This window comes from Homo sapiens, chromosome 4, assembly GCF_000001405.40.
Source record: "Homo sapiens chromosome 4, GRCh38.p14 Primary Assembly".
NCBI classification, from domain to species: domain Eukaryota; kingdom Metazoa; phylum Chordata; class Mammalia; order Primates; family Hominidae; genus Homo; species Homo sapiens.
Window position 1 is genome coordinate 88,112,359 of NC_000004.12, and position 24,459 is coordinate 88,136,817.

At 41.2% G+C, this 24,459-nt stretch overlaps 1 protein-coding gene across 15 annotated transcripts in view; it reads right to left on the reverse strand.

Moving 5' to 3' along the window:
• The window catches only part of ABCG2 (ATP binding cassette subfamily G member 2 (JR blood group)), a 141,363-nt gene that overhangs the window by 22,095 nt on the left and 94,809 nt on the right, over nt 1-24,459 (reverse strand). For 9 of the 15 annotated variants that reach the window (NM_001257386.2, NM_001348985.1, XM_011532420.4 and 6 more), the window contains 7 exons: nt 20,218-20,277; nt 19,445-19,559; nt 18,703-18,855; nt 9,277-9,434; nt 5,751-5,902; nt 2,599-2,700; nt 945-1,195 (listed from right to left, as the gene is read on the reverse strand). In NM_001257386.2, the coding sequence (NP_001244315.1) occupies nt 945-1,195; nt 2,599-2,700; nt 5,751-5,902; nt 9,277-9,434; nt 18,703-18,855; nt 19,445-19,559; nt 20,218-20,277 (991 nt within the window). The remainder of the gene's footprint in view (nt 1-944; nt 1,196-2,598; nt 2,701-5,750; nt 5,903-9,276; nt 9,435-18,702; nt 18,856-19,444; nt 19,560-20,217; nt 20,278-24,459) is intronic. The other 6 variants (XM_017008852.3, NM_001348987.1, NM_001441213.1 and 3 more) reach the window with 4 other exon arrangements.

Consider the following 24,459-nt stretch of genomic DNA (forward strand, 5'->3'; position numbering starts at 1 on the left):
GTGTATTCAGTGACAGTAGGTGAAGGTTTCCCTGATCACCTGATTCCAACTGCAAATCAACCTTCTTCTCCCTACTTCTCTCTCTTCCTCCCCTTTCTCCACCCCTTCTCTGCTTAAACTTTCCCCATAGTTTCTTCTACCATCTAACATGCTATCTATTTAATTTCTTTATTATTTATCATAACTGTCTTCCTCAAAAAATTAGCTCCATGAGCAGAGTTTTATTTTTGCCCATTTTGTTCACTACTGAATTCACATCCCTAAAGCACAGCACAGGCCCTATAAGAACAAGTTGAATGAATCAGTGAACAAAAGTGAACAGCTACCAGAAAACCCCAAAACTGGCTGACACTTCTTTCACAATTTCCCAAAAAAAAAATTTTTCTACTCAGATTATTCATTACAGCTTGTCTAAATCAACAAAAATTCTGAGTTAGGTAGTCTAAGAAACCACTAAAAAAAAGAACCTGGCCAGATGTGGTGGCTCACACCTGTAATCCTAGCACTCTGGGAGACTGAGGCAGGAGAATCGCTTGAACCCACGAGTTCAAGACCAGCCTGGGCAACACAGCGAAACCCCATCTCTACACAAAACACAAAAATTAGCTGGACGTGGTGGGACACGCCTGTAGTCTCAGCTATTCAAGAGGCTGAGGTGTGAGGATCACTTGAGCCCAGGGAGGTCAGGGCTGCAGTGAGCTGAGTTCATGCCACCACACTCCAGCCTGGGCAACAGAGTGAGACTCTGTCTCAAAAAAAGGGAAGCTTTCCAAAAGTAAAACTTAATTGTCCTTTATTTGTTCTGCTGACTGGTTCTATATCCCAGGTGGAGTGAAGATAACAAATAATTGGAAGGGTGGGTAGAAGATAAACATATCCTGAAGCAGATGATAACAGAACCACATTGTTCCCATTTGAGTATTTCAAAAGAATCTGCTGGTTACCTGAGCTATAGAGGCCTGGGGATTACCCAGCAAGTTTTTGAATGAACGCTTGGAAACCCATCTGAGTTGATGACAGAAGGAGGTGGTGTAGCTGATCTCCTTGAAGACTGTGATCTTCTTCTTCTTCTCACCCCCGGAAAGTTGATGTAATTCAGCTTTTGTCTCTTTGTAGAAGGAGGAGTTGACATAAATCTCCGCTAATTTTTCTATGAGTGGCTTATCCTGCTTGGAAGGCTCTATGATCTCTGTGGCTTTGCAATCAGTGGATAAAAAGGAAACACAAACAAGATAACAACAAATTTAGCCCATTTTTTCTGTGAACCCTTTCTTGGATGCTTCCCTAACACCTTCATTCTAAAGCTTTAGAAAGAAAAAATAGGCCAGGCACGGCGGCTCATGACTGTAATCTCAGCACTTTGGGAGGCTGAGGCGGGTGGATTACGAGGTCAGGAGTTCGAGACCAGCCTGACCAACATGGTGAAACCCTGTCTCTACTGAAAATACAAAAAAAATTAGCCTGGCGTGGTGGTGCGTGCCTGTAATCCCAGCCACTCAGGAGGCTGAGGCAAGAGAATCGCTTGAACCAGGGAGGTGGAGGTTGCAGTGAGCTGAGATCACACCACTGCACTCCAGCCTGTGCAAGAGAGCAAGACTCCATCTCAAAAAAGAAAAAATAGAAATAAAAAATTATTAGCTCTGTCATTAGAAAAGTATAACAGGCCAGGCACAGTGGCTCACTCCTGTAATCCCAGTATTTTGCAGGGCAGAGGCAGGAGGATCATGCGAGGCCAGGAATTCAAGACCAGCCTGAGCAACGAAACGAGACCCTGTCTCTATAAAAATAAATAAAGTAAGTAATAAATTAAAATGTATATTTAAAAAGAGAAAAAGAAAGAAAAAGAAAACTACAGAGAAATAGCCTGTCTATTGCCATAGTCTTATGAATATAGCAAACAAACTGACGTTTTCTATTTGACCTTAATTCTTTTAAAATAGACTTCTTACCATATAGTTCTAATTCTTAATATAAAATTCTGGTCGTGGCCAGGGGCGGTGGCTCACACCTGTAATCCCAACACTTTGGGAGGCCAAGGCGGGAGGATCACTTGAGGTCAGGAGTTTGAAACCAGCCTGGCCAACATGGTGAAACTCCATCTCTACTAAATATACGAAAATTAGCCGGGCCTGGTGGCACAGGCTTGTAATTCTAGTTGCTCAGTAAGCTGAGGCAGGAGAGTGGCTTGAACCTGGGAGGCGGAGGGGTCAGTGAGCCGAAATAGCACCATTGCACTCCAGCCTGGGTGACAAGAGCTAGATTCCTTCTCAAAAAAAAAAAAAAAAATCTGGTTGTTGCTTCCTACTATATGCAAATGCATATATTGCCAAGTTTCTTATTTTAAAAACACTATATAAACACTGAGCATTTTTTAAAATGTTAACTCCTCTTGGAACTGACAACACCATATAAATTCTCATTTATAAATTAATCAAAAACACCAACAGCACTCACAGACAACAAAATATTTGTGTTGACTGGTATCAGAAGACTGCATCAACAGAAATTCACAAAGCCACATTTTAATTAGCCACCACATTGCTAAACTTCAGCCAATTCAATTAGGCAAAAATCTGGGACTGTAACAGATTCATATACCTTTAAAGTCTTCTTCTCTGTTTAATGCCACAGCAGTGGAATCTCCATTAATGATGTCCAAGAAGAAGTCTGCAGGGTTATTATAGGCCTCACAGTGATAACCTATGAAAGAAGGCAGCTCAAAAACACAAACTTGATGGTCTTGGAAAACAAAGAGAACTCACTTTCAGAGGGTGAGGGAGGTAAGGCTAGAGAAGACAGAATCTAATGACTTTTCCTTAACTTTCTTTCTCTCTTCTTCCCACGTAATTTTACCCTTTCTTTTTATATATTCAGTCTCTCTCTCTCTCTCTCTCTCTCTATATATATATATATATATATATATATAATTTATTTATTTATTTTGAGACAGGGTCTCCCTCTGTCACCCAGGCTGGAATGTGGTGGGGCAATCTTGGTTCACTGAAACCTCTGCCTCCCGAGTTCAAGTGATTCTCCTGCCTCAGCCTCCCAAGTAGCTGGGATTAGAAGCACGCATGACCACGTCCAGCTAATTTTTGTATTTTCAGTAGAGACACAGCTTTGCCATGTCGGCCAGGCTGGTCTCGAACTCCTGGCCTCAAGTGATCCACCCGCCTCGGCCTCCCAAAGTGCTGGGATTACAGGCATGAGCTACTGTTCCCAGCCTATCACACAATATTTCGGCAATTCTTTGTCTCTGGGCCAAAAAAAAAAAAAAAAAGAAAGAAAAGAAAACACTCCAAGCCAACCTTGGATTTGCAGGGCATTTTGCATTAGTGCTTGGTCCTTACCTATCATAATTCATGAGACCTGAAATAGCTATCAGTATGCTCTGGTGCTTAACAGTACTTCCTCAAAAATCTAAATATAGACCCAAGAAAAAAATCCAAAAGCCCAGGTGTGTTCTGCTCTCTGAGTTCACCGACAGAATGCCAGAATGATAGAACCCACATTAGCAATGACTACTTCCCCACATACTAAATTCAGAGGTCCAGCGCTGGGTGCAATGGCTCACATCTGTAATACTAGCACTTCGGGAGGCCGAGACCAGCAAACCACTTGAGCCCAGGACTTCCAGACCAACCTAGCCAACATGGCAAAACCCCATCTCTACTAAAAACACAAAAATTAGCCAGGTGCATTGGCTTATGACTATAATCCCAGCTACTAAGGAGGCTGAGGCACAAGAATTGCTTGAACCTGGGAGGTGGAGGTTGCAGTGAGCTCTGAAAGCACCACTGCACTCTAGCCTGGGCGACAGAGTGAGACTCTGTCTCAAAGGTAAATTAATTAATTAATTAATTCAGAAATCCAAATCAACTGCTGTGCTGCTGTAATTCCAAATAGAGAACAAATCCCCTGAGCAGTATTCTCGATAGAACATGGCCAGCACAGCACACCTGAACCATTCAGCTTTGGATGATGAGATCATCTGAACTCAGCGTGGCCTGAAGTCTGACTCTTAGTTCATCCCCTTTATTAAAACCTAATTAAGAAACATGGCCAATGAATATCTAAAATTATATTTAGGATCATAGGGAATCATTTGTAATCATATCCAAATATATCTAAAATGATGCAGACCGCACAAGCCATTAAAAAAAATCACACATTTCTTTTTTTTTTTTTTTTTTTTTTTTTTTTTTTTTTTTTTGAGACGGAGTCTCGCTCTGTCACCCAGGCTGGAGTGCAGTGGCGCGATCTCGGCTCACTGCAAGCTCCGCCTCCCGGGTTCACGCCATTCACCTGCCTCAGCCTCCCGAGTAGCTGGGACTACAGGCGCCCGCCACCACGCCCGGCTAATTTTTTGTATTTTTAGTAGAGACGGGGTTTCACCGTGTTAGCCAGGATGGTCTCGATCTCCTGACCTCGTGATCCGCCCGCCTCGGCCTCCCAAAGTGCTGGGATTACAGGCGTGAGCCACCGCGCCCGGCCAAAAAATCACACATTTCTATCTAAAATTTTAAAAATCACACATTTCAATTTGAAATAAAAAGAACCATGCTGTCCAAGATTGTTAGAAATTTTGGCCCATCTAAGTCAGGTTTAGGACTAACCACTCTATTGACCGATACCCACTCAAGGGCTAAAGCTGCAATCTATAGTTACCAGAAAATTAAGTAGTGTCTGCCGGTCACAGTGGCTCACACCTGTAATCCCAACACTTTGGGAGGCCACAGCAGATTGCTTTAGCTCAGGAGTTTGAGACCATCCTGGGCAACATGGCAAGACCCCGACTCTACAAAAAATACAAAAATTAGATAGCCATGGTGGCATGTGTCTATAGTCCCAGCTGCTTGGGTGAGGTGGGAGGATGGCTTGAGCGCGGGGGGTTGAGGCTGCAGTGAGTCAAGATTGTGCCACTGCACTCCAGCCTGGGTGACACAGTGAGATCCTATCTCAAAAGAAAAAAAAAAAACCTTAAATAAAATTTGCTGGGTGCAGTGGCTCACACCTATAATCCCAGCACGTTGGGAGGCCGAGGTGGCAGATCACAAGGTCAGGAGATCAAGACCATCCTCCTGGCTAACAGGGTGAAACCCTGTCTCTACTAAAAAAATACAAAAAAATTAGCCGGGCATGGTTGTGGGCGCCTGCAGTCCCAGCTACTCAGGAGGCTGAGGCAGGAGAATGGTGTGAACCCGAGAGGCAGAGCTTGCAGTGAGCCAAGATCACGTCACTGCACTCCAGCCTGGGCAATAGAGCAAGACTCCATCTCAAAAATAAAAATAAACAAAATTAAGTAGCATTTCCATGAGTGCTCATCAAGGCAGACCAACATGTGCAAGGGGAAAAAATTTTAAGGCCTCATCTGTTATATGGTCAAGAAGACAATCATATTAGGCCTTCCCAAAAATGTTCAAGTGACAGAATAAATGGCTATAAGGCCAACATATTAATTACTGAGCTTTTAAGAAATGGTCACTGTAACTAGGAAGCAGAATATAGGCCCAGTAGAAATACACACATGCATGCACATTGAAATAAGACAAGAAAGATACCTAAATAACAAGCTGGTGCTACAAAAATGAAGAAAAATACTAGCACCAAATGGAACAAACACATTTTGAAGTGATAGATTCTCATGGTATGTCTACCCAAAGACCAAACAGCACTCCTGCAGACCCCCTTTGCTCTCCTTCAGGATTCTATTAATGAAGCATTTTACAGCATAAAAAAGTCAACCATACCAGCTGATTCAAAGTATCCCAAGGCCTCCTGAGCAGGCCCGTGGAACATAAGTCTTCCTGAGGCCAATAAGGTGAGGCTATCAAACAACTTGAAGATGGAATATCGAGGCTGATGAATGGAGAAGATGATTGTTCGTCCCTGCTTAGACATCCTAAGTTAAAAGTGAGACAATACTAAGTCATTAAATATCTGAAACTTGTATTTCTCAGTAAAATACTCTATTCTTGCCTTTAGATTGTTTGCTCTAGTTCAGCCTGACTTTGTCTTACTAACTTTTCATCTCATATTATTTAGCTATAGTTAGCAAACCTAAATTCAATGCTTTTATTAAAACAGAATAGGAATTTTCAGTGTGTTGTATTGACAATCTAGAATCAACTAGAATAGTTATTAAAAATGCAGATTCTAGGACAGTCTTCCCAGACATTGAATTAGAATCTCTGGCAGTAGGTCTAGGGAATCCATATTTTAAGAAGCAACCCAGGTAATCTGCAAGTATTTACAAGTTTGAGAACTAACTATGGACTGCATATTAAAACAATGGTCATATATCTCATTCTGACTTATCATTTAGGTCTTCTGGCTCTTTAAAAATTGGTTTTCACTCTTCTGCCCTAATAATGCAATTAACATAACTGAGTACTTACTATGTCTTTGCTAAATAATTTAGAGATAACTTCATTTCAATTTTCACAATATTGTCATGAGGCAGTTCCAATATTATTATTATTACCCTCATTTTATAAATATGTCTTAAAGGATCAAGCAACTGGCCAAGGGATCACAGTTAGTAAGAGGCAAGGCTGGGATTTAATCTCTGGTCTAAGTCCATGACCAAAATAGTGCTAAAGTACCTTTTCACAGGAGTTATGACTTACAGGTTGATAAGGTTTGGCTGTGTGCCCACCCAAATCTCACCTTCAATTGTAACAATCCCCACATATCAAGGATGGGGCCAGGTGGAGATAATTGAATCATGGGGGAAGTTCCCCCATACTGTTCTCGTGGTACTGAAAAACTCTCACGAGATCTGATGGTTTTATAAATGGGAGTTCCCCTGCACAAGCTCTCTTGCCTGCTGCCATGTACAACATGCCTTTTCTTCTTTGCCTTCCACGAAAATTGTGAGATCTCCCCAGCCATGTGCAACTGTAAGTCCATGAAACTTCTTTCCCTTATAAATTACCCAGCCTCAGGTATGTCTTTATTAGCAGTGTGAGAACAAACTAATACAGTAAATTGGTACTGGTAGAGCAGGATGCTGCTGTAAGATACCCAAAAATCTGGAAGCCACTTTGGAACTGGGTAACAGGCAGAGGCTGGAACAGTTTGGAGGGCTAAGAAGAAGACAGGAAGATGTGGGAAAGTTTGGAACCTCCTAGAGACTTGTTGATTGGCTTTGGCTGAAATGCTGACAGTGATATGGACAATGAAGTCCAGGTTGAGGTGGTCTCAGATGGAGATGAGGAACTTGTTGGGAACTGGAATAAAAGTGACTCTTGCTATGTTTTAGCAAAGAGACTGGTGGCATTTTGCCCCTGCCCTAGAGATCTGTGGAACTATGAACTTGAGAGAGATGATTTAGAGCATCTGGTAGAAGAAATTTCTAAGCAACAAAGCATTCAAGAGGTGACTCGGGTGCTGTTAAAAGCATTCAGTTTTATTCATTCACAAAGATATGGTTTGAAATTGGAACTTATGTTTAAAAGGGAAGCGGAGCATACAAGCTCAGAAAATTTGCAGCCTGATGATGCGATAAAAAAGAAAAACCCATTTTCTGAAGAGAAATTCAAGCCTGCTACAGAAATTTGCATAAGTAATAGGGAACCAAATGTTAATCACCAAGACAATGGGGAAAATGTCTCCAGGGAATGTCAGACGTCTTTACAGCAGCTCCTCCCATCACAGGCCCAGAGGCCTAGGAGGAAAAAATGGTTTCCTAGGCCAGGCCCAGGGCCTTGCTGCTTTGTACAGTCTCGAGACTTGGTACCCTATGTTTCAGCCATGGTTAAAGGGGACCAACAGAGAGTTGGCAGCTTCCATGTGGTGTTAGGCCTGCCCTTCACCTAGATTTCAGAGGATGTATGGAAATACCTGGATGTCCAGGCAAAAGTCAACTTTAGGGGTGGAGCCCTCATGGAGAACCTCTGCTAGGGCACTGCAGATGGGAAATGTTGGGTGGGAGCCCCTACACAGGGCCCCCACTGAGGCACTGCTTAGTGCAGTAGTGAGAAGAGGGCCATCATCCTTAAGACCCCAGAATGGTAGATCCACCAACAGCTTGAATTGTGCATCTGGAAAAGCCACAGACACTCAATACCAGCCTGTGAAATCAGCCACAAAAGGGGCTGTGCCCTGCAAATCCACAAGGCCAGAGCCTCCCAAGGCCCTGGGAGCCCACCTCTTGCATCAGTGTGACTTGGACGTGAGATATGGAATCAAAGAAGATAATTTCAGAGCTTTAAGATTTGACTGCCCCTTTGGATTTCGGACTTGCGTGGGACCTGTAGCCCCTTCGTTTTGGCCAATTTCTCCCATTTGGAACAGGTGTATTTACCCAATGCCTGTACTCCTATTGTATCTAGGAAGTTACTAACTTGCTTTTGATTTTACAGGCCCATAGGTGGATGGAACTTGCCCTGTCTCAGATGAGACTTTAGAATGTGAACTTTTGAGTTAATGATGAAATGAGTTAAGACTCTGGGAGACTGTTGGGAAGGCATGATTGGTTTTAAAATGTGAGGACATGAGATTTGGGAGGGAGGGGCCAGGGGCAGAATGATATGTGTCCCCACCCAAATCTCACCTTGAATTGTAATAACATTTGTAATAATTATAATAACAATACACAGGTGGAAGAAGGGCCAAAATCACTGTTCAAAACTGTTACTATTCAAAATATTTTATGTGAAGAGTCACTTCAATTTTAACATTTTCTAAGAACTTACTGTATGCTAGCAGTGTACACAAAAACATTCTGCCTCAAAGAGGATCAGGCCAGTAGGTCAACAATTTCAGTACAATATGAAATAGAAGATGCTAAGGATTCCTCATAAGCAAAATGGGAGACTCACAACCCAGTCTGAAGATGATATAAGTAGAGTAAAAAAGGCCCAACAGGAGGAAGCTAAGAAGAAAAAGAAAAAGTACTGAAGGTGGAAGAATAAGATGAAAAAGGTGTGAAATAAAAAGGTCTACTCAGAAAACTACAAAATGTTCAGTGTTATAGAGCAGAGAGAGGGAGAAAAAATGTGTATGTGTGTGTCTGTTGGTGTTGAGTAAAGAAGCTAAAGAGACAGCAGCAAAACAGGCCCAACCCCCCTACACCCTCATCACAGACATCCTTCCCTACATTCTTACCTGCTTTGTTTTTCTTGATAATGCTTTTCATTTGTTAACTGACTTTCACTCCAACAGAAGAGGAAGAAATTACTTTGATCATTTCTGAACCCCCTGCCCCAAGAATATCTGGGACATAGTAGTGATAAGATATTAACTAAAGAATAATGTTTCCAGAGCATTTACCTTTTCAGGAGCAAAAGGACAGCATTTGCTGTGCTTGAGTCTAAGCCAGTTGTAGGCTCATCCAAGAACAAGATGGAAGGATCAGTGATAAGCTCCATTCCTATACTAGTCCTTTTTCTTTCTCCTCCAGACACACCACGGATAAACTGAGTTCCAACCTAAATCACAAATATTATAATTGTCAATGATAACAACCAGTCATTATCATTTGGTGAGCTCCTAACGTGTGCCAGTCCTGTAAGAGACACTTTATCTCATTAAGTTCATTTATTCTGAACAGCAAATAAGTGGATACCTGGTAGAAAAAGTAGGTATCTCTTTTATCAGATGAGTAAACTTAGGTTCAGGTCACAGCTGGTCAGTAACTAAGCCTGATACAAAGCACCTCCTTGGGTGAGGCTATGCCTCACCCAGGAAGCACAAGGGGTGGGGGAAGTCCCTCCCCTAGCCAAGAGAAGCCGTGAGGGACTGTGCCACGAGGGATGGTGTATTCCGGCCCACATACTGTACTTTTCCCATGGTATTCACAACCCGCAGACCAGGAGATTCCCGCAGGTGCCTACATCACCAGGGCCCTGGGTTTCAAACACAAAACTGGGTGGCCATTTGGGCAGACACTGAGACAGCTGCAGGAGTTTTTTTTTCATACCCCAGTGGTGCCTGGAATGCCAGCGCGACAAAACTGTTCACTCCCCTGGAAAAGGGGCTGAAGCCAGGGAACCAAGTGGTCTAGCCTAGCTCAGCGGATCCCAGCCCCACAGAGCCCAGCAAGCTAAGATCCACTGGCTTGAAATTCTTACTGCCAGCACAGCAGTCTAAAGTCAACCTGGGAAGCTTGAGCTTGGTGGGGGGAGGGGCATCCACCATTACTGAGGCTTGAGTAGGCCCTCACAGTGTAAACAAAGCCTCTGGGAAATTCGAACTGGGTAGAGCCGACCACAGCTTGGCAAAGCCACTGTAGCCAGACTGCCTCTCTAGATTCCTCCTCTCTATGCAGGGCATCTCTGAAAGAAAGGCAGCAGCCCCAGTCAGGGGTATATAGATAAAACTCCCACCTCCCTGGGACAGAGCAGCTGAGGTAAGGGGAGGCTGTGGGCACAGCTTCAGCAGACTTAAACGTTCCTGCCTGCTGGCTTTGAAGACAGCAGTGAATCTCCCAGCACAGCGCTAGAGCTCTGCTAAGGGACAGATTGCCTCCTCAAATGGGTCCTTGACCCCTGTGCCTCCTGATTGGGAGACACCTCCCAGCAGGGGTCGACAGACACTTCATACAGGAGAGCTCCAGCTGGCATCTGGCGGGTGCCCCTCTGGGAACAAAGCTTCCAGAGAAAAAAAACAGGCAGCAATCTTTGGGGTATCTTTGCTGTTCTATAGCCTCTGCTGGTGATACCCAGGCAAACAGGGTCTGGAGTGGACCTGCAGCAAACTCCAGCAGACCTGCAGCAGAGAGGCCTGACTGTTAGAAGGAAAACTAACAAACAGAAAGGAATAGCATCAACATCAACAAAAAGGAAATCCACACCAAAACCCCATCCAAAGGTCACCAGCATCAAAGACCAAAGGTAGATAAATCTATGAAGATGAGGAAAAACCTGTGCAAAAAGGCAGAATGCCTCTTCTCCTCCAAAGGATCACAGCTCCTCGCCAGCAAGGGAACAAAACTGGATGGAGAATGAGTTTGATGAATAGACAGAAGTAGGCTTCAGAAGGTGGGTAATAACAAACTCCTCCAAGCTAAAGGTGCATATTCTAACCCAATGCAAGGAAGCTAAGAACACTGAAAAAAGGATAGAGGAATTGCTAATTAGAATAACCAGTTTATAGAAGAACATAAATGACCTGATGAAGCTGAAAAACACAGCACAAGAACTTCGTGAAGCAAACACAAGTATCAATAGCTGAATCAATCAAGCGGAAGAAAGGATATAAGAGATTAATGAAATAAACTTAATGAAATAAAGCGTGAAGACAAGATTAGAGAAAAAAGAATGAAAAGGAACAAACAAAGCCTTCAAGAAATATGGGACTATGTGAAAGGACAAAACCTACGTTTTATTGGTGTACCTGAAAGTGACAGGGAGAATGGAACCAAGTTGGAAAACATTCTTCAGGATATTATCCAGAAGAACTTCCCCAACCTAGCAAGACAGGCCAACATTCTAATTCAGGAAATAAAGAGAACAGCACAAAGATACTCCTCAAGAGCAACCCCAAGACACATAATCATCAGATTCATGAAGGTTGAAATGAAGGAAAAAATGTTAAGGGCAGCCAGAGAGAAAGGTTGTGTTACCAACAAAGGGAAGCCTATCAGACTAACAGCAGATCTCTCTGCAGAAACCCTATAAGTCAGAAGAGAGTGGGGACCAATATTCAAAATTCTTAAAGAAAAGAATTTTTCACCCAGAATTTCATATCCAGCCAAACTAAGCTTCATAAGTGAAGGAGAAATAAATTCCTTTACAGACAAGCAAGTGCTGAGGGATTTTGTCACCACCAGGCCTGCCTTTCAAGAGTTCCTCAAGGAAGCACTAAATATAGAACAGAAAAACTGGTACCAGTGACTGCAAAAACATACCAAATTGTAAAGACCATCAACACTATGAAGAAACTGCATCAATTAATGGGCAAAATAACCAGCTAACATCATAATGACAGGATCAAATTCACACATAACAATATTAACCTGAAATGTAAATGGGCTAAATGCCCCAGTTAAAAGACACAGACTAGCAAATTGGATAAAGAGTCAAGACCCATCGGTGTGCTGTATTCAGGAGACCCATCTCACATGAAAGATACACATAGGCTCAAAATAAAGAGATGGAGGAAGATCTGTCAAGCAAATGGAAAGCAAAAAAAGCAGGGGTTGCAATCCCAGTCTCTGATAAAACAGACTTAAAACCAACAAAGATCAAAAAAGAGAAAGAAGAGTATTACATAATGGTAAAGAGATCAATTCAACAAGAAGAGCTAACTATCTAAAATCTATATGCACCCAATACAGGAGCATGCAGACTCATAAAGCAAGTCCTTAGAGACCTACAAGGAGACTTCAGACTCCCACACAATAATAGTGGGAAACTTTTAACACCCCACTGTCAATATTAGACAGATCATCGACATCAACAAGGATATTCAGGACTTGAACTCAGCTCTGGACCAAGTGAACCTAACAGACACCTACAGAACTCTCTACCCCAAAGCAATAGAATATACATTCTTCTCAGCACCACACAGCACTTATTCTAAAATTTATCACATAATTGGAAGTAAAACACTCCTCATCACATGCAAAAGAACGGAAATCATAACCAACAGTCTGTCAGACCACATTGCAATCAAATTAGAACTCAGGATTAAGAAACTCACTCAAGGCCAGGCGTGGTGGCTCATGCCTGTAATCCCAGCACTTCGGAAGGCTGAGGCAGGTGGATCTTGAAGTCAGGAGATCAAGACCATCCTGGCTAACACGGTGAAACCCCGTCTCTACTAAAAATACAAAAAATTAGCTGGGCGTGGTGGCGGGCACCTGTAGTCCCAGCTACTCAGGAGACTGAGGCAGGAGAATGGTGTGAACCTGGGAGGCTGAACTTGCAGTGAGCCAAGATCGCGCCACTGCATTCAAGCCTGGGCAACAGAGCGAGACTCTGTCTCAAAAAAAAAAAACTCACTCAAAACTGCACAACTATGACTGGGCGTGGTGGCTCATGCCTGTAATCCCAGCACTTTGGGAGGCCGAGGCAGGCGGATCATGAGGTCAGGAGATCAAGACCATCCTGGCTAACGTGGTGAAATGCCATCTCTAATAAAAATACAAAAAATTAGCCGGGCTAAGTGGTGGAAGCCTGTAGTCCCAGCTACTTGGGAGGCTGAGGCAGAAGAATGGCGTGAACCCAGGAGGTGGAGCTTGCAGTGAGCTGAGACTGCACCACTGCACTCCAGCCTGGGCAACAGAGCAAGACTCTGTCTCAAAAAAAAAAAAAAAAAAAAAAAAAAAAACTGTAGAACTACACGGAAACTGAACAACCTGCTCCTGAATGACTATTGGATAAATAATGAAATGAAGGCAGAAATAAATAAATTCTTTGAAACCAATGAGAACAAAGACACAACGTACTAGAATCTCTGGGACATAACTAAAGCAGTGTTTAGAGGGAAATTTATAGCACTAAATGCCCACAGGAGAAAGTGGGAAAGATGTAAAATCGACACCCTAACATCACAATTAAAAGAACTAGAGAAGCAATAGCAAACAAGTTCAAAAAGCTAGCAGAAGACAAGAAATAACTAATATCAGAGCAGAACTGAAGGAGATAGAGACAGGAAAAAACCCTTCAAACAAATCAACGAATCCAGGGCTGGTTTTTTGAAAAGTTTAATAGAATACATAGACCTCAAGCTAGACTAATAAAGAAGAGAGAAGAATCAAATAGACACAATAAATAATGATAAAGGGGATATAATCACTGATCCCACAGAAATACAAACTACCATCAAAGAATACTATAAACACCTCTACGCAAATAAACTAGAAAATCTAGAAGAAATGGATTTTCCTGTACACACACACCCTCCCAAGACTAATCCAGGAAGAAGTCGAATCACTGAGTGGACCAATAGCAAGTTCTGAAATTGAGGCAATAATTAATAGCCTACCAACCAAAAAAGGTCCAGGACCAGACAGATTCACAGCCGAATTCTACCAGAGGTACAAAGAGGAGCTGGTACCATTCCTTCTGAAACTATTCCAAACAATAGAAAAAGAGGAACTTCTCCCTAACTCATTTTATGAGGCCAGCATCATTCTAATACCAAAACCTGGCAGAGACACAACAAAAAAAGAAAATTTCAGGCCAATATCCCTGATCAACATCAATGTGAATATCCTCAATAAACTACTGGCAAACTGAATCCAGCAGCATATCAAAAACCTTATCCACCATGATCAAGTCAGCTTCATCCCTGGGATGCAAGGCTGCTTCAACATATAGAAATCAATAAATGTAATCCATCACATAAATAGAACAAATGACGAAAACCACATGATTAACTCAATAGATGCAGTAAGGCCTTCGATAAAATTCAACACCCCTTCATGCTAAAAACTCTCAATAAACTAGGTATTGATGGAATGTATCTCAAAATAATAAGAGCTATTTATGACAAACCCACAGCCAATATCATACTGAATGGGCAAAAGCTGGAAGCATTCCCTTTGAAAACCGGCACAAGACAAGGACGCACTCTCTCACCACTCCTATTCAACATAATATTGGAAGTTCTGGCCAGGGCAATCAGGCAAGAGAAAGAAATAAAGTGTATTCAAATAGGAAGAGAGGAAGTCAAATTGTCTCTGTTTGCAGATGACATGATTGTATATTTAGATAAGCCCCTTGTCTCAGCCCAAAATCTCTGAAGGCTGATAAGCAACTTCAGCAAAGTCTCAGGATACAAAATCAATGTGCAAAAATCACAAGCATTCCTATACACCAATAATAGACAAACAGAGAGCCAAATCATGAACTTCCATTCACAATTGGTACAAAGAGAATAAAATACCTAGGAATACAACTTACAAAAGATGTGAAAAACCTCCTCAAGGAGAACTACAAACCACAAAGGAAATAAGAGAGTACACAAACAAATGGAAAAACATTTCATGCTCATGGATAGGAAGAATCAATATCATGAGAATGGCCATACTGCCCAAAGTAATATAGAGATTCAATGCTATCTCCATCAAGCTACCATTGACTTTCTTCACAGAATTAGAAAAAAAACTACTTTAAATTTCATATGGAACCCAAAAAAAAGCCTGTATAGCCAAGACAATCCTATGCAAAAAGAACAAAGCTGGAGGCATCACGTGACCTGACTTTAAACTATACTACAAGGCTACAGTAGCCAAAACAGCATGGTACTGGTACCAAAACAGATATATAGACCAATGGAACAGAACAGAGGCCTCAGAAATAATGCCACACATCTACAACCATCTGATCTTTGACATACCTGACAAAAACAAGCAACGGGGAAAGGATTCTGTATTTAATAAATGGTGCTGGGAAAACTGGCTAGCCATATGCAGAAAACTGAAACTGGACCACTTCCTTACACCTCTACTCAAGATGGATTAAAGACTTAAATGTAAGACCTAAAACTGTAAAAACCCCAGAAGAAAACCTAGGCAATACCCTTCAGGACATAGGCATGGGCAAAGACTTCATGACTAAAACACTGAAGGCAATTGCAACAAAAGCCAAAATTGACAAATGGGATCTAATTACACTAAAGAGCTTCTGCACAGCAAAAAAAAAGAAAGAAAAAAAAAAACTATCTTCAGAGTGAACAGGCAACCTACAGAATGGGAGAAAAATTTTGCAATCTATCTGACAAAGGGCTAATATCCAGAAACTACAAAGACCTTAAACAAATTTATGAGAAAAACACAACCCCATCAAAAATTGGGCAAAGGATATGAACAGACACTTCTCAAAAGAAGACATTTATGTAGCCAGCAAACATATGAAAAAAACTTCATCATCACTGGTCATTAGAGAAATGCAAATCAAAACCACAATAAGATACCATCTCATGCCAGTTAGAATAGCGATGATTAAAAAGTCAGGAAACAACAGATGCTGGAGAGGATGTGGAGAAATAAGAATGCTTTTACACTGTTGATGGGAGTGTAAATTAGTTCAACCATTGTGCAAGACAGTGTGGTGATTCCTCAAGGATCTAGAACCAGAAATACCATTTGACCCAGCAATCCCATTACTGGGTATATACGCAAAGGATTATAAATCATTCTACTATAAAGACACATGCACACATGTATTTATTGCAGCACTATTCACAATAGCAAAGACTTGGAACCAACCCAAATGCCCATAATGATAGACTGAATAAAGAAAATGTGGCATATATACACCATGGAATACTATGCAGCCATAAAAAAGAATGAGTTCATGTCCTTTGCAGGGACATGGATGAAGCTGGAAACCATCATTCTCAGCAAACTAACACAGGAACAGAAAACGAAACACTGCATGTTCTCACTCATAAGTGGGAGTTGAACAATGAGAACACATGGACACAGGGAGTGGAACATCACACACTGGGGCCTGTCAGGGTGTCAGGGGCTAGGGATGGGATAGCATTAGGAGAAATACCGAATGTAGATGATGGGTTGAAGGGTGCAGCAAACCACCATAGCACATGTATACTATGTAACAAACCTGCACGTTCTGCACATGTATCCCAGAACTTTAGTGAAAGATAAAATTTTTTAAAAAAAGCACCTGCTTTTAACAGTTTGTTCTTCACCAAGTCAAATATGTAGTTTGAAGTTCAGAACACTAAAAGATAGGTGACATGGTGAAATCACAGTCTAAAAAGGGAGATAAAGTCAGGAGAAGAAAATGTGAATGCAACTATAATTATTAGTCTTCTAACACTCTCTCCCCTCCCAGCCTCCAGGTGGACTTACAATAAGAGCATGGGCTCTGCAGCTAGGAGAGTTCACTTTCTCTCATATGATATTAACACCTTTTCAATTACCATGAGGCTCCCCAAATTGACCCCATATATACCTAAGGTTAATAACTGGGAAATCTATGTAAATGATATTAATTGTCTCATTATTATATTAATTATACTATAGCCATATCATTACTATAGTAATCAGACAATTCACTCTACATTTCTGTTATGTTTAAAATTTCACAAAAAGTAACATATTTTAAATGTATTGCTTCAATTATTTAGATAAATAAACTAGGAAGTCAATAGCTGTGCCTTCACAGTCTATTTTCCCTAGATATCCTAACAAGCAACATAGGGCAATGGCTGCCTGAAGGTAAAGAATAGAGTGGAACAAAACACCTTACTGGTAAGATAAAATCAAACAGAACCAAAGCAAAGAAAACCCAATCACTCATAAAGCGGAAATAAGTAGTGAATGGTGGCATCTCAGAGTTACTCTTCCAAACAAAATACAGTAAAACACCCTGAACAGAAAGGACTGTCAGAAAGCATAATATGAAGTATACACCATTAGAACATCTCATTCTTCATTGCTTCTAAGTAAGGGATATCACAGGGGATTACACTATAGCCATTACAATGCAAAAAGCTCATTTTCACCCAAAGCTTCAAATATCTTCTCAGCAAATCTTCCAAACATATTAATCAATTGTAAAGTTCATTCATTCATGTCATTTTTTTCTTCACGATCCTCTCCAACCCACAAGAGGAGGAGTTACTTTGTCTCTCTTGCCCACAATTGTATCTCTAGAACCTAAAAGACAGCTTAGCATACAAAAGTCTGTAAACATTTGGCAGAAGAAAAAGAGGCAGAGAAGGGAGGGAATGAGAGACAAAACTATTAAAAGAAAGGCTATTAAAAAAAACAGACACTACATAAATGAGAAATAAATCCTAATTTGACCAAATATAATTTTGGAAGCCAAATTATAGGAAACTGAAACATATAGAGCAGGGGTCCCCAACTTCTGGGGAACCAGGATGCACAGCAGGCAAGTGAGCAAAGCTTCATCGGTATTTACAGCCGCTCCCCAATGCTTGCATTACCACCTGAGCTCCACCTGTCAGGTCAGTGGCGGCATTAGATTCTCATAGGAGCATGAACCCTATTGTGAACTGCATGTACGAGGATCTAAATTGTGTGTTCCTTATGAGAATCTAATGCCTGATGATGTGTCACCGTTTCCCATCACCCCCAAATGGGACCATCTAGTTGCAGGAAAACAAGCTTAGGGCTCCCACTGATTCTATATTATGATGAGTTGTATAATTATTTCATTATATATTACAATGAAATAATAATAGAAATAAAGTGTACAATAAATGTAATGCACTTGAATTATCCCAAAACCATCCCCCCTACCCTGGTCCATAGAAAAACTGTCTTCCATAAAACTGGTCCCTGGTGGCAAAAGTTGGGGACTGCTGATACAGAGCAAGAATCCTTGGACTCTCATCACTTATCAATCCCAGAAATATACCTCAATAGCAATGGAACAAAGTCCCTTGGAGGAAGAGTGACTAAAAGGAGGAAGAGAAAAAGAGGAAGAAGAAAAGTTAGTGCAGACACGGAATGAGACGTGACTTAAACCATGAGGTGGGGGAGGAGCATAAGGAAAGGCCAGGTGATGAACACTTTCACGTACAACACCACATTGCCTCACTTCAGGTGCAGAATTCAACCAATGTGAAGATTTTTTTTCCAGGTTAATTTCCACGTTCATATTATGTAACAAGCCACTTTTCTCATTGTTATGGAAAGCAACCATTTTTGACCATACACATTACAGGAAACTTCTGAATCAGAGTCATTTTATCCACACAGGGAAAGTCCTACTTATGCTGATCATGATGCTTTCAGTTTTTCCACATTACCTTGGAGTCTGCCACTTTATCCAGACCTAACTCTTGAATGACCCTGTTAATCCGTTCGTTTTTTTCATGATTCGTCATAGTTGTTGCAAGCCGAAGAGCTGCTGAGAACTGTAAGTTTTCTCTCACCGTCAGAGTGCCCATCACAACATCATCCTTAAGGCAAATAGCATTTTAATGAGACATAATGATAATGAGTCTTTTCTAAGACCATGACTGTTTAGTATACATAACATAATCCACAAAGATAACATAACTAAGGTAAAGTTCTAGCTAATGATGAACCTGCAGTTCTGCAAATGACAGTTAACTCCATAGATGTCTGCAAAGCCTGCTATAATCATTTTTCACCCCCTATCTGTACACCCAAATAGAATGCAAGTAATTATGTTAACTACCAGCAGACATTTCCAAACTGCTTCATACAAGGATTTGCCAAAATATCTTTCTAAGCTAGGGGAAAAGAAAGGTGAAGGAAAGGCAAAAAAGGATAACAGTAGTATGTATCATTTTAGAAATGATACAAAAACTAGAATTGGTATCACTGTCCTTACAAGGGCCATATTCCAGATTCTCCCTGCCTTTTCACATAAGTGTCTATGAGAAATTAAGAAAAGCTGCTGTAAAGAACGTCAGTTCTAGGACCATGTCACATAATCAACTGGAAGCACATTGAACTATCAGCCAAAGCACTTACCCATATAGAAACAGAGGAAACAGAAAATGCAAACCCACTAATACTTACTTGTACCACGTAACCTGAATTACATTTGAAATTGGCAGGTCGCGGTGCTCCATTTATCAGAACATCTCCAGATAATCCACTTGGATCTTTCCTTGCAGCTAAGACATCTAATAACCTATAAGAGGACATATATGTTGTGGGTCTAATAACCTATAAGAGAATATATATGTTGTGGGGTTTTTTTCCCTCCAACACATGCTATATATCTCATGGCTACTTTGAATCCAAATTCTACTTTAGTTAGAAAATTAACTGGTCAAGAAATTCTATGGTTTAACTAAAATTATGCTTTTAAAAATTCTCACCTTTCTCTTTTCATTGTACATTACAATAAAGCCCCAAAACATAAAGCAAGACACCATTGGCTGATCAAGTACAGATCTCCCAAATGGCCCTTCCAGCTGTCTGACCTTGGAGGTACTAACACAGGCAATGTGCTCTTTTATCTAAGACTCATGCCTTTACTTACATCTTCTGCTTCCTTTCCCTACTTTTAATATTCTCCCATTCTTTTTCCTCCCTATTAGCTGATAACATGGTCAACTGCTACATGTCAATCACCTTATCAAATCCTATTAGTAAAGCTAACCTAATAAGACTACCTGGTCTTTGGGAAAAAACCACGCAACTACAGTTATCCACAGCACCTAGAACCAGACCTGACATGCGTTGCAAATGCTCAATAAATACCTGCTCGCACACAAAAAAAAGTGGCTTTTAAAAGCACATTAAAAGTGCACAGAAAACGCTTACTTATACTCTCTTATACTCACGAAGATTTGCCTCCACCTGTGGGTCCCAGGATGGCGTTGAGACCAGGTTTCATGATCCCACTGTAAACACAAAAACAGACTGATTTACTATTCCATTTTAAGTCAGGTTCTATTAATTTAGGGTAGGCACTGAATATACTCAATGAAGGTTGATGAAATTACAAATAGAACACAAGCACAAACCAACTCTTAAAGAAAACAAACAAACAAAACAGGTCATGCATGGTGGCTCAGGCCTGTAATCCCAGCACTCTGGGAGACCAAAGCAGGATTGCCTGAGGCCAGGAGTTTGAGACCAGCCTGGGCAACATAGGGAGACACTGTCTCTACTTAAAGAAAAAAAAAAAAGATTGTTGATTTGATGTGTAATATATAATGGATGTTAATCACTGGTCAAGTCCTACAAGAAAAATGGCATAGATTCCTCTAAATTCCTTTCACTTATTCTCTAACCCATTTATATTTTCTGGAAAATGACATTCAACATTTAACGTTCCTTGAAATAACTAACAGATTCTTGTGAAACATCTCCGTTACACTTACTGCTCTTAACACAGTGTGAAACGAAATACATGGCGTGTTCTGAGTACTGTTTGATGATCAGTACTGTATCTTCAAGTGGTCACATTTGCTACCTAGTCAAATTCTACACAATTAATAAGTCGCTAATTTGTGGAATACCGGTAGAAGTATTCTCACTGCTAAAATCTAATCAGCCCAAGAAACATCTAAGTAGAAATCGAGGCTGGGATAAAGCACTTCAGGATAAAAAGAAAACATGACCGAAAGAAAAAAAAAGCCTTAATCCATTTAGAAAAGTAAAAGATATATCCTCAAGATATATCATTTTCTTCCTTGTTAAGAGTCAGATAAATACACTGGAAAATTCCAAGTTTAGAAGGAGAAGACATCACTTTGGTAGGGTCATCCTTTAAGAATATGAAGACGTGGTACATACATAAGCACGTTTCAAACAAAGTGGATGTCTGAGGGTAGTGAATATTCAGATAGAGAAGGAAGGTGGAAAAAATTATGGCAGTGTTGACTGTGCTGAGACCCAAGAAGACAGCAAATAGTTTGATTTTCTCCTAAAGATAGCAAGTAGAATGATAAGTGAAGGAACTGGAGAAAGGAGAATTTGGCCGGGTGTGGTGGCTCATGCCTGTAATCCCAGCACTTCGGGAAGCCGAGGCGGGTGGATCACTTGAGGTCAGGAGTTCTAGACCAGCCTGGCCAACATGGCAAAACCCCGTCTCTACTAAAAATACAAAAATTAGCCAGACACGGTGGTGGGTGCCTGCAATCCCAGCTACTCGGGAGGCTGAGGCAGGAGAATCACTTGAACCCAGGAGGTGGAGGTTGCAGTGAGCCGAGATCACGTCATTGTACTCCAGCCTGGGCAACAGAGCAAGACTCCGTCTCAGAAAAAAAAAAAGAAGAAGAAGAAAGGAGACTTCAGGGTGGGGCCTGGCTTGTTCCTTTCAAAACACAGGTATCTATGCCCATTCTCTCCTTAGAATTGATAAGTAAGTTACAATATATTCCACAGAGAAAGTAATATCTATTCCAAATGGAAGGTCAAAGCCAAAGACTATTTCATTCTCAAATAATGATTAGCACAGAGGCCAATCCTATGATCCTATACAATTATGAGTGATAAGCAACTGCACCACAGTGCTTAAACCCAAGACTCCCTGAGCATTTACTGCCTGTTGTACTTGAACTATCACAATTGTACAATGGCTGGTGGGTACAAGAGTGAAATGTAGCTTTCACTTTGCTCATTAACTGGGGTATCTCTCAGTGAAACGCTGCACAAAGACAATGGGAGTTAGGTAAACCAGGAGCAAGATCTAACAGAAAAATCTCTTACTCTTTCAGTGGACTCTTCCCTCTAAATGTGTAAAACAACATACTAATGATTGGGCAAATTTTCAAGGTGCATTTATCTATAGCTCTTGATGCATCTTCTTTATAAACAGGTCCCTAATAACTGCCTCTAAAATCACCATAAGCTTGTTATTCACTAAGGCTCCACTGTCAGAAAAGCTTTCCAGGTTTCTAAAATACCTACTCAAATAAAGACCAAGCAATCCTAAATGATTAACCCAAACCTCAACATGAATGTTCTAAGACAAAGAGCTTGGCTTACTACTTTGGGATGAAACCCTGGCATTACAGAAAACAACAACAATGTCCAGTCATAAATGCCAAGAGTTTCCATTTGGAGCAGTGGCTAATTCCAACTCCATCCACTCAACACAATGATCAAGTATTTACTGTGTACATACAAGATATTCTTCTAGGGCATGGGAGAGTTGAGAACAAAACAAACAAACAAACGAAAAACAAAGTCTGAGCCCTTGTGGAGTTTACATTCTAGTCCAGGGATCAGCAGTTTTCTTAGACAAAGGGTTGTTGGAACAGGGCCGTGCTCATTCCCTTACATATTACCTAGGGCTGCTTTCATGCTACACCACAGCTGAGTAGCTGCAACACAGACGCATGGCCCACAAAGCTGAAAATGTTTATTAATACTATCTGCCCTTTATGGAAACAGCCTGCTGACCTCTGTTCTAGTCTATGGTCTACAATTCACTGGCCTGCCCACCCCACCCTCCACCCTTCTATCATCCCTGAAACTGCATTCCCCACCCTTATTTATTGCTTTACAGCATTTGCATGCAGGTCAGTGTCCCTCACTATAAAAGTCTGTCAACAAGAACAGCATGCCACATTGCTACCACCTCTCACACCCTCCTGCCCATGACATACAGCACAGTTGTTGTAAACCACTGAACATGAACCTGGAACACAGGGAATAAAATTTACCCCAAAATTTCCTGTCACCTCTATTACATTTTAGTGGATAATGATTAATCCCTTGGTCTTGTTTTGTTTATGGACAAGAGAGGTCAATGCTCACCTCCCTCCCACCCTCCCATCCCTACACACACAAAATCTTCACTTTCTCAATCACCACGCCCGGGCCCTCCAATTTAGGGTTGGGGCTCCCATTGGGTCTTCTAATCAATCCTTTTATCAGCGTGAAAGTGTGTTCTGAATCCCCCACTAGGCTTTAAGGCTTCCCTGAACTGAGGATTTACCTGTGTCACTAGCATCTTGCACAATGTCCTGCACTAGCAGGCATTCAAAATTTGTTGAATAAATAAATTTCTGCATTTTTATAAATGGGATTACTTCTAAAAAGACAAGGAAAAATGTTTTCACCTTTTAAAAAACGTTGAGAAGAGATAGCTGGAGGGTGGGGAGATTGTTTATATTATGGAATAGGAAAATTAGGAAGTATATCCTTAACGTACATCCTTAATGTACTTGCTGATTTTCTTATTCCATAATATAAACAATCTCCCACCCTCTCTAGCCAATTAGAGCTAGATTTGTCACTTTTTGAAATTTTACTAACATGGAAATATAGACAGAATCTTGAGGGTTCAGATGAGAATTGGAGAAATTAATGAGAAGCCATAGGTTTTAATCCATATACAAAGACAGCTATAGAAACATAAAGATGGAAACTCCCAGGGTGCTGCGGGAATGGTCACCACTGCTCCCCCAGCTCTTCTCCCGCCCGCTTTGGCCAGATCTGTATGCACCTGCACGTGGGAGGTAGTTTTTTAAAAAGTTATGCATGTATGTGTATGCGTATGTGTGTAGACGTATACACATACATATCTTCTCTAGGTCTCACTCCACTGAGAAAGCCTAGAAACAATGACATCCCAATAGCAATGAGCATTTTAAACACCTAGATTTTGGTTTTGTAAATATCTCCTCCATAAAAATCAACAGCTGATTCTAGGTCTGAGGCAGGGTAAGTACACAGTGAGTCTGGAACTGCTCGCTGTGCCAAGCAAATATTCAAAGAATGAGGCAAGGTGGGAGAAACACTTGAGCCCAGGAGTTTGAGATGTGCCTGGGAAACATAGTGAAACCCTATCTCTACAAAAAACTTAAAAGTTAGCTGGAAGTGGTGGCATGTGCCGGTGGTCCCAGCTACTCAGGAGGCTGAGGTGATAGGATCACTTGAGCCCAAGAGATTGAGGCTGCAGTGAGCTATGATCATGCCACTGCACTCCAGCCTGGGCAACAACGTAAGACCTTGTCTCTAATAAAATTTGTTTAATTACAAAAAGAGGCTGGGCACGGTGGCTTATGCCTGTAATCCCTACATTTTGGGAGGCCAAGGCAGGTGGATCACCTGAGGTCAGGAGTTTGAGA